Here is an 11310-nt window from a genome sequence, read left to right on the forward strand (position 1 = left end):
CTCACCTTATACAAAAATTAACTCAAGATGGTTTAAAGAATTAAATGTAAGACCTCAAACTATAAAAATTATAGTTTATAATTTTAAACAGAAAACCTACAGAATGAGAGAAAATATTCACAAAATATTCATTGTGTGTCTGACAAAGGACTAATATCCATAACTTATAAGAAACTTAAATCAATAAGCAAAAAACAAACAACCCATTAAAAAGTGGGTAAAGGACACGAACAGGAACTTCTCAAAAGAAGACATATACATGGCCGAGAAACATATGAAAAAATGCTCAACATCACTAATCAACACAGAGATGCAAATCAAAACCACAGTGAGACACCATCTCACACCAGTCAGAATGGCTATTATTAAAAAGTCAAAAAATTACAGATGTTGGTGAGGTTGGGAAGAAAAGAGAACGCTTATATACTGTTGGTGGAAATACAAATTAGTTCAGCCCCCGTGGAATGCAGTTTGGAGATTTCTCTAAGAAATAATAGTAGAATTACAGTTTGACCCAGCAATCCTATTACTTGGTATATACCCAAAAGAAAATAAATTGCTCTACCATAAAGACACATGCACTTGTATGTTCATTACAGCACTATTCATAGTAGCAAGTCATGGAATCAACCTAGCTGCCCATCAGCGGTGGATTGGGTAAAGAGAATGTGGTACATAGTCACCATAGAATACTATAAGGCCATTTAAAAAAATGAAATCATGTCCTTTGCAGCAACATGGACACAGCTGTAGGCCATCATGCTAAGTGAATTAAGGCAGAAACAAAAAACGAAATACCTCAAATTCTCACTTACAAGTGGGTTCTAAACACTGGGTACACATGGACACAAAGATAGGAACAATAAACACTAGGAATTCCAAAGGTGCAGGCTAGGAAGAAGGTAAAGGGCTGAAAACTATCTATTGAGTATTATTTTCACTACTTGGGTGATGGAACCATTAGAGCCTAAACCTCAGCATCAAGCAGTATATCAATGTAGCAAACTTCCACATGTACTCCAGAATCTAAAACTAAAACAAAACAAAACAAAAACAAAAATAAAAACAAAACCTCTATAATTTATTATTTTAAACCTTTCTTCTGAAAAAAGAAAAGAAATTTCTCTTTGCTGGTCAATTAACTAACTGGAGGCAGTACTTATACTCATGGCTTTGACTGAGGATAAAAGAGATTTGAAGAGAAGGTACAATATATGTGTGCATGTCATTTTGGTAAAATACATGATCTCTGGGTATGAAACAGTTCAATCAGAAAATCTCCTATTGCTGTTTCTGGGCAGGGGAGACTAACTTGGAGCCACACAGAAAAGAAACAGCATCTTTAAAGTGGCACTGAAACTGGAATTTACCTTCTCTGCAGCCAACATTCACAGAAATATATGGCAAGCTATCAACATCCATAATGTAAATTCCTTGAGAATAGGCCATGTGCCTCATGTAGCCATATGCCTTTATCCTCACACAATTGCTAGCAAAGATTGGGATTTTCATAGGTACCCACTGATTTGTGTGAATTTGGGGCATGAAGAACAGGTGGAAAATGTGGCATTCATGTATGTATTACCGAAAGAAGTCCATCATTTCCATCATTTAACTGTAGCTAGCCACCTATCTGTGGAGACAGAAAATCATCACTATGCAGATCTCTTTTAGTTTTAGGAATAATTATATAGTAATGTAATCACATAAATATAAAACAGCAGATAACTATTACCCTAGGAGGAAGAGTAAGGAATCTTTTGTGACTTGACAAAGCTGCTGTATGCAGCAGTCACTTGAGAAGGAAAGAGTAGATGCATATTGCATAGGACCCAAAGAAACTTCTGGGAAGGTACTTTATCTGGCCTATTCTCTTTCATGGTTTAAATTCTAGGATGGGTTAAAATATTCCTAAATATTTTCAAATAGCAGAAAAGGTCACAAAGAAGATAATTTGAGAGACAGGAAATTAATAATCATCGTGGAAGCATTTAGGAATTTTGCCCCAAAAATTAAGAATGGAGGCAGAAACACATCTTAAAAGAAATTTAGGAAACCAATAATGTGCTGTATTTATGGGTATTAATTTACTTTTATTATCATCATTACTACTATTATTTCTATTACTATTATTTTAGCAAGCCTAAAAGATGACCCAAACCAGATGTGGCTGAGGGGAACTGTAACCAGTGTTAAAGGCTTATTGTGCCTCAAAGAAAATTTGAGAAAATTTGCTTTAACCAGATTAAAATGAGCCAATTTAAGGGGCCCATGTATTATAATAAATGGAATATGTGCCCATTTTTAAAAACTTTTATTTTAGTTTCAGGGGTACATTCACAGGTTTGTCATATAGGTATTAGTAAACTCATGTCATGGGGGGTTGTTATACAGATTATGTCATCACCTAGCTACTAAGCCTAGTACCCAAGTGTTATTATTTCTAACCTCTCCCTCCTCCCGTCCACCACCCTCAAGTAGGCTGCCTTAGAGTTTGTCGTTCCGTCTTTGATGGAATACAAATTAAATTGACAGTAAACTTCAATATTCTTAAGATTTGGTAAAATTCAGGAAAAATTTAATGGGCATTTTTATTTTCAAATTAATAAGCTATCCAGAACAGTAATGATTAGAAAAGATTTATTTACAAGCAATTTTCAGTTATTGCTTAAATGGAAATAATATTTATATAAAGAAATGTAATATTCATCAATTTGTCATTCACACCTCTTCTGTATAACTAACTGAATCACCTTTAGATCTCTGTTTTTACCTTCCCAACAAGAGACTTGTCTTGGATTACTTCATACCAATAACCTTATCCCTTTCTTTTCCATCATCCTTTACACCTTTTGAATTATTTACCAAGTGAGTTGCCATTTAAATTAAGAGAAGTCTCAGCCTCCTTTCCCAAACCATAATAATAAAACCTGCTTTCAGTTTAGCAATAGAGGAAAATATTGTTATAGGATCTCTGGGGTGTCAATTTTTCTAGCCAGAAACCTCTGTGGCTGGGGCGCCTTTGTCTGAGTTCTTGTCCTGCGTCCAGGAAGAATGAGGTATGCAGACAAGAGAACGGTGAAGAAGATGAGAGTTGTATTTAGTGTTAGAACAGCTCAGAGGGGACATAGAATGGGTGCTCCTCTCTGTACGCAGGTCTTCCCATTGAGTGTTCAGCTCTCAACAGAGTGGAGGCCCTGGAGAGGGTGGCTACCCTCTGCAGGCAGGTCATTCAGATGTCTCTGCAGGTCTCTGAAGCTTTCAGCAGAGACAGTAGCTCCTCTCCACCAGTTTCTGAAGCTCTCAGTAGAGAGGATAGCTTCTCTCTGCCAGCAGGTCGTCTCTGTAGCTCTCTGTGGAGAGGGCACTCCTCTCTGCAACTAGTCATCTCATCCCCTCATCTCTGCCTTCTCTGGCTGTCCTCTGCCCTGCTCTGGCTGAGCCCAGGGCTTTTATGGACCTCAGAGAGGAGGAAGTGTGTGCCTGCTGTTTATGGGTGGCCATGGGCTGACCAGAAAAGGCACCACGAGTCCCCACTCCAGTCCACGGAACTGGCCCCCAGCCTTCAGGCCCTCCTCTGCCTGAAGATGGGGCCTAGCTGGGCACCTGCTTCCTTCCGCCCAGGACTGTGTCTGCCTCCCACTGCCATTCAAGGCCCCAGGACTCAGCCCCAACCCCACTCGGATCGGAGCAGAAACTAGGAGCTGAGAGAGGCCAGGCCATGGGAGCAGACACTCCTGAGCCTGCAGAGATGGGGACGGGGATTGGGGGAGTCTTTCCCGGGGCCCCTGAGGATGCAGGCTGCAGAGACGCTGGGTCCTGCGCTGCAGCTGCACCAGGAAGGCAGATCTTGCCTGCTCCCCATCCTCCTTCAAGACCACAGGGAAGCTTGGATCCGCAGCTGCGGTCTGGGAGGCTGCCTGCTCTATAGAGCTCCATAGAGCAGGAGGCCTGCGTCTGCAGCCGCGGTTTGAGCAACTACAGCTGCACCTGAGGACGTCCCGCTCCAACTCAGAAAAGGCGGGGCTCCCACCAGCCCCATGGAGTGCTCAACCCAAGCTGTGCCTCCCTGTTGCAGCCAGGGTGATGGCAGCAGCCACTGCCATCAATACTGGCATTAGTCTGACTTTTTTTGTCCTTGTCTTAGAATATGAAATATTTGACAGCCCTGCTATTGAAGGGTTTCAGTTAAATAAGAAAGCTTAATATAAGAATATTTACATGTTATTTAGATTTTAATTAATATAGAGAACAAATATGATAAGAAAAACTTTCAGAAGTATAAGACCTGGAATTTTATTTTAAGGAGATTTTGTTCTTTTTAAAAATTTCAATTTGTTAGGTTATATTCTTTGACAGTTTGCATAGAATTATACACATAATTATAAGGCCATATAAAAATTGAAACATTATAAAATGATAAAATTATTCACAATTAAATGAATTATGAATAGTTGTGGCTGCTTATAAAAAGAAAAATAATAGAGAAATGCTATTCTAAACAGAAATAGAGGCAGAAATTTTATTCTGTATCATTTTGTTTTAAAAATAAATGAAAGACATTCTTTGTAGGAACAATAAACTAGAAATCACCCACCTGGATGAATAAAATCAGCAAATAATCAAGTTACATAGCAACTGAAATTAATATGTGGTTAATAGCATTTATCTGCTTTCTTTGCTTGGAAACTGTCAGTCTTTCATGCTTAATAAATATCAATGATTTACTGAAAGAAAACTTACAAGTACTTGAAGTCTCATTTCATTATATTTACTAATCTGTGTGAACTTGGATTCCCTTATTAGCGGAATTTGTGATAATGCGGTAGCAGGATCAAACCTGGATCTGCCTACTCCAATCTAATTTGAACTCGTAATCTCCCCTTACATCTGTGGGGTGTCTAGATGATCATATAGACACTCATTTTAATAAAGCAGTTCAATTAAAATATTTATTAGCAAGGACCCCATGGGAGAAGCCACAATGTGGAAAGACTTGGCTGAGAGGGGTAAAGAAATTAAGTCAAATTCATTAGCCCTAAAAAAACTAACACAATATTCCACAAAACCATCAGGAATCAGCATGAGCAGAGACTTAGTAGACAATGCCACATGTTGGGTCCATTTTCTAAATACTACATTTTTATTAGTATTTGCTACACATACACTTAGATTGTACATGTTATTGACATGTCATGTCAATATATTCTCAAGTACCTGAAATAAGAATGGCATTATTAGTATAGTATTAAACTTGGTACTAATAATTTAGATTTTTATCCTATTTGGGGGGAGAGAATCAAATGCATATGAAAGACCCAGAAAATGATATAAACGAATTATAATGTCCTATCCTATAGAAGGATGTTGTGGAAGTAGTAGAGTTTAGTAGTCTGAACTAAAATCCCAACTCCACCAATTATTATTGTTTGACCTTAGGATAGTTGGCCTATGAGCTTCAATTTTTCTTATCTGTAAAGTGACTTTAATAGTGAAATTTTCCCATAGGCTTTTTATAAGAATTAAGTGAAGTAGACCATATTAAGCATTTAGTAAAGCATCTAGCTTAAACTTTCAACAAAAGTATTTGGAGATAATGCTAGTAATGATTATAATGATATTCCTAAACAGAACCTCCTCTTGCTGCAAACCAATACAAATAATGTAGATGAAACATATTGAAGCAAATCTGACTTCTGATTCCAAGCAAGATGTAAATAATCTACTCAGAACAATTAGAAATGCTCACAGCATCACAGAAAAAGAAATTATAATTTAAGAAGTACCAGTGGCTGGGAGCGGTGGCTCACACCTGTAATCCCAACACTTTGAGAGGCCAAGGCAGGCAGATCAGGAGGTCAGGAGTTCGAAATCAGCCTGCCAACATGGTGAAACCCCATCTCTACTAAAGATACAAAAAATTAGCTGGGCGTGGTGGCACGCACCAGTAATCCCAGCTACTCGGGAGGCTGAGAAAGGGGATTTGCTTGAACCCAGGAGGCAGAGGTTGCAGTGAGCCAAGATTGAGCCATTGCACTCCAGCCTGGGTGACAGGGTGAGACTCTGTCTCAAAAAAAAAAAAAAAAAAAAAAGTATCAGTGAACTATAGAGGCAATGAGAACTAGAAAAACTAAATTTCAAGAGAGGGCTAAAGTGTCCAGAAGTGAGGTGAGATGATAGCTGATCTTTCCATGTAGCATCTGCTAATTATAGGTACAGGCTAGAGGTTGAGAACCACAGGTTGCTTTTGCTAAAAAGAGAAACATGAAAATCTGTTAGTAATCACAGAGATGGGAGTGACAAAATTGTAAAACTCAAGAGATCTTAAATAAAAGTTGACTAACCTCCACATGAGACATTTGTTGAGTTGCGAGGCTGCATTGGGGAAGCAAATAAGCTAAACTGAAATCTGTGGAAAAAGTAGACTACCCTATAGTTTCATGGGCCTTAGAGAGTAAAGACCTATCAGAAGCAGGAGATATGACTTTTTTTAAAAAAAGCGAACAAGAAACAAAATTCTTAGAAGGAATTTTAAATAGAGTTGAGAATTAACACTAAGTATCCACAGGCACCTTTTCCCTAGAAACACTTTTTAATGTTGAGCATAGCTGGAGGCTAATAACCCAGGCTTGAAGCTAGCAGAAGGCTGCTGCTGAGATACCAAGAAACCAACCAACACTTTGGTGTTGTGTTGAGCCAGACTGTTAAAATTGGAGACGTGAGGGCATCAAACACAATGTCAGTCTTTTCCTCAAGACCAAATTTTGAAGTTTTATTGAGTGTGAGGCTAAAGAGCTAAGTTTAAAACCTCTGATAGGTGGAAATAATGTCCACGGTGTTTCTGCTACAGATCTTTGATGGAGGCAAAGATCCATCAATCTCTCACTTGAAATCTGTGGTGGCAATGCCCTAGGAATCAGGAAGACCCAGGTATAGATTGAGTCTTACCAAAATTACAACCCAGCCTCAACACAACCTAATTCCTGATTATATTGATATGATAAGCCCTCCAACCCTACCCTACCTTGAACTTTATGTTCTAAACAGAGGAAGTGTTTAATTCTTTCTGATGGAAGAGAATGTCATCTGGAGGGTATATGGGTTTTCATATATACAATTTCTGACATATAGTAGCAGTGATAGAAAATGAAAGCAAACTTGTAAATGATTCATATAATCCAAATTTTAAAGTAGCAGACACGTACTTAAAAATAATTACCACTAATATGTTCAGGAAAATACATTTTAAAATTGGGGAAAAATAAGTAAAAAGATGAGAAAAAAATACCGAACTGAAATCTATATGAAATAATGAGTATTTTAGAACTAAAAATACAATATCTGAATTAAGAAAACAATCAAGGATTTAACAGTAGACTAGAAAAAAATGAAGACAGAATTAATACACAGGAAGACAAATCAATAGAAAACACTGAAATTAAAGTATAGTGAGAAGTAAGTATGTGACTTAGAAAGAAAAGAGCAAGAGGAAAATATAGAACATGCTCAAAATTTGTATTTATAGGAACGTGGAATTCTAGAAAGGCAGAATGGAGAAAAATGGGGCAGAAGCAATATTCAAAGAGATAAAGCAGAAGAATTTTTCAAAATTGATGGAAGACATAAATTTACAGAGACATAAAGCTTAACTAACCAGGAAAAATACAAAAAGACACACATCTAGGCTCATCATAATATAATTGCTAAACACTCAAGACAAATTAATAATTAAAAGGCAACCAGAGGAAAGAAGACATTACCATCAGAGGTATAGCAATGAGAATGACATCTGACTTCTTAAAAGAAGTAGTATATGCCAGAAGACAATGGAAAGAAATATTAAAGTGCTTAAAGAAAATAATTACCAACCTAAAATTCTGCATCAAACACAATTATCTTTCAATAGTACGGGTAAAATAAGAATTTTATCTGATAAAGAACATCTAATGGAATTGGTTTTTAATAGGCCTATAATAATATAAACTAAAAAGAGTTATTTAGGCTGAAGGAAAATGGCCCCAAATGTAAACATAGACATGCAGGAGGAAATGAAGAACATTGGAAAGTATACATATGCAAGTAAATAAAAACCATGTACTTACTGTATAAAACATTAATAGTAATGGCTTTTGGAGTTTAAAATATAGGGAGAACTAAAATGCATGGCAACAATAATGCAAAAGATCAGAGGATGGAAAAATGGAGACTGTATGCTCTAAGTATCTACATTACTAAGAAAGTATTAAATGTAATGGTTTGTTCTAGATTTCAAAAAGTCAAAGATATATTTTGTAATCTCTAAGACGCCCACAAAAAGAAGAATCAAAGATGTATAATTAACAAATCAATTCAAAGAAAACATGGAACAATAAAATATAATGAAAAAACTCAAAACACATACCTGAAAAGGAAATCACTAAGGGCAGAAAAAAAGAAACAAATCTAGAATGGAAAACTTGTGACTCTTTAGATAATTCTATAGCCCCAAAAGAATGTCAGGCTACTATGAACCCTGACGGCTAGGCTCTTGAGTTTTTTCTTGAGTTTTGAACATACACACAGATTGAGGAACATAATTTTTGGGCCCAGGTGAGGCTGCACACTGGAAGAGAAATTTCTGCATGGAGCTGAGACTCTATATGTGCTGGGTTCTCATGGAAAGAAAAATTAGAAATATCCTATTCTTCTGCTTAGGAAGTAATACCAAAACTTGCCTTTCCCTCAGGATTAAGATGAGGCAAGGCAAAGCATGGCATGACAGGACAAGACGAAAAAAGGTTTATTTATAAACTTTAATTCCAGGCCTACATCATGTGAAAATTGGAAATTACATTTACACAAACATAAAACCTTATCTTGGACTGCTTAAAGCTGGAATTCATCAAGGAAAAGTTATTATTGTCTAACTTAAACAACTCTGAGAGCACTGGACTCCCAGGAAATAATATTTCTCTTTTATAATTGGCAAAATTTCCAGAATTAAAAAAAAAAACACAAGGGGAAATGATCCACCAAGAAATATGATCAACAGTCCTAATAAATTAGAGAATTTGCATCCTAAGGACTTGAGATAATATTAGGCCACAAAATAAGTAAACTTAAAATGACAAAAGATATATAAGAAGAAATAGAAAGCATAGTGAAAGAAAAAAAAAAACTGTGAAAGAAAAAAAAAAAACTAAGAAAGAAGAAGTTATTTTAAGGGAACCAAATAGAACCTATATAAATGTGAGGGACAATAACTGTCAATAGAATTGAATACTCATCTACATTAGCATTTAAAGCAACATTTCTATATAAGATATTTTCAGATAAAGACAGATAATTGTTGACTCCAAGATCATTGAGGTCTTGAAGAGAGAGAGAGAGGTGTGTGTGTGTGTGTGTGTGTCCTATACACATATAGTTGGAAATTCTCACCTTTTTTTCTCTATATTGTGACCATAGAAAATATTCCAAACAATTCTTTAGTTGAACTTATACTTTAAAGATCTCTTTAAATTCTTTATTGTCTTTTGATTTTAAAAAGTGTTTTTTTTAATTACTTCCCCAAGAAGATATCTTAAGAGACTAAATCCTCTTCTCTCATCTGAACACAAGGTTATTTTTATCTTCACTTTTGGCTAAAAAATAATATTAAATTTGCCACAACTAACAAATTATATTTTCAATAAAAAAAGACATAGGTAGATAGAAATATAGATATATATCCATGTATACATATATGACACACATATGCTCGATATAATTTTAATCTTAAAAAGAGCTATTTTTCTACACATGTATACATTTTGTTTAGTAACTCAAAGATTTTAATGGAAGGCCAGTCTTCTGTTGTACAGAATGTAAGCCTTATATTTCTAAAAGAAATATTTTTTAACTCCTATCAGAATTTAATAAACCTATGTTCTGGTTAATGTCATCCTCAATCTTTCATTTTACTGAGGCTGTTAAGTGTATTACAGGAAATAATTACGACAACATATGCATGCATATTCATTTAGTTCACTTATGCTGGTTCTGGGCCACCTAAAATGTAATTTAAAATTCACAAGTATTACAAATTGGTAATTTGGCACATAGATTGTACTATCTCCACTTCTAAATTTACCAGGGTGGTTGGAAAATTATGTAATCAACTAATTTATATTTTCTACTTTATTTTTGCTTCTCCTCCAATTGGATGTGCTAATGAGCAAGGTCATGAATAAAAGGTTAGCAGTATAAAAAATAGTAACAGCAAGAGATATGAATAATCCTCAAACTGAATAGTTGGCATTAATTAAAAACTGATGCTTTTTAGAACAGGCTTTAAGGCATGCTGAAATGGAGCATTTCCTAAGTTGTAAAATGTTTTGAGAAAGATACATCCTACAAATTGGCCCTTGCATGTCAAATTTTCTAGTATTACATGTTGAAGAAAACATCATGACTTTTCAAATCTCCAACACCCATATGACTCACCAATATGAAAGAGTTTGTATGGAAGCACTGGCTTCAATTTCACTGAATTCCAATGTGAAATCAACCACCTTCAAAAAAGTTAAGTCAGGCTTTTAAAAAGTTCACCTAAATTTTATCTATACATAGTTATTTCAAATATTCTAAGAAATCACTGAAGTTGAGGATGGCAAAATATTCCTTCAATTTCTTCGGAAAAAGTAAAGCCTAATCACATCTTGACTTCCTTGACTAGGAAAATATTGGAACTGAATACTAAAATAAGACGTTGTATTCAAAAATTATCAGAGATGTACACGTCTTTTAAAAATTTAGGAGATGGGAGCCAAGATGGCTGACTGGATGAGCCAGGAGCAACATGTGCCACTGAGAGACCAAAACATTGGGAAGACTAGCACACTCCGAGCAGATCTTCAGAATAAAGGCATTGAGAGTGGATGGAGAGAGGACACAGTTGCTGGGTTGAACCAGGAGGAAGCTGAGAACTGTGTACAGGGCTGCTGAGCACCAGGACTGATGCCTGGCCCATGACTCCTGAGGAAGGAGTAAGCTGAACAGGTGAAGAGTGGCCTGCTCTTCCAATAGACCTCCAGAATCCTCCATGACCCCCGCAGACAACTGAACTGGCAGGTAGAGCTGCTTAGAGAAGTGGAAGGGGCAGGACTCCAGCCTGTGCAAAGCCCAGAGGATTTGGCATGGGAACAGCTGCAGTAGATCATGGCCAGGGATGCCTGTCTCCCAGAGTTTGCTATGCTCCCCTAGGAGGTTTTAGTCTTTGGGTGAAAAACATGTCTTAACAGAACAGAGCGGTCTTGCCCATGGGACAGGGTCAGTCCAATGTCAGTGTCC

General features: G+C 36.5%; 1 annotated feature.

Moving 5' to 3' along the window:
• Positions 3242 to 3743: an enhancer, noted in NCBI's record as "H3K4me1 hESC enhancer chr15:37842319-37842820 (GRCh37/hg19 assembly coordinates)". NCBI's record gives its function as "activates a minimal SCP1, AML or CMV promoter by ChIP-STARR-seq in naive H9 embryonic stem cells {active_cell/tissue: H9 hESC(naive)}" and the evidence as "EXISTENCE:reporter gene assay evidence [ECO:0000049][PMID:30033119]".

The sequence above is a fragment of the Homo sapiens genome, chromosome 15, assembly GCF_000001405.40.
Source record: "Homo sapiens chromosome 15, GRCh38.p14 Primary Assembly".
Classification (NCBI taxonomy): Eukaryota; Metazoa; Chordata; class Mammalia; order Primates; family Hominidae; genus Homo; species Homo sapiens.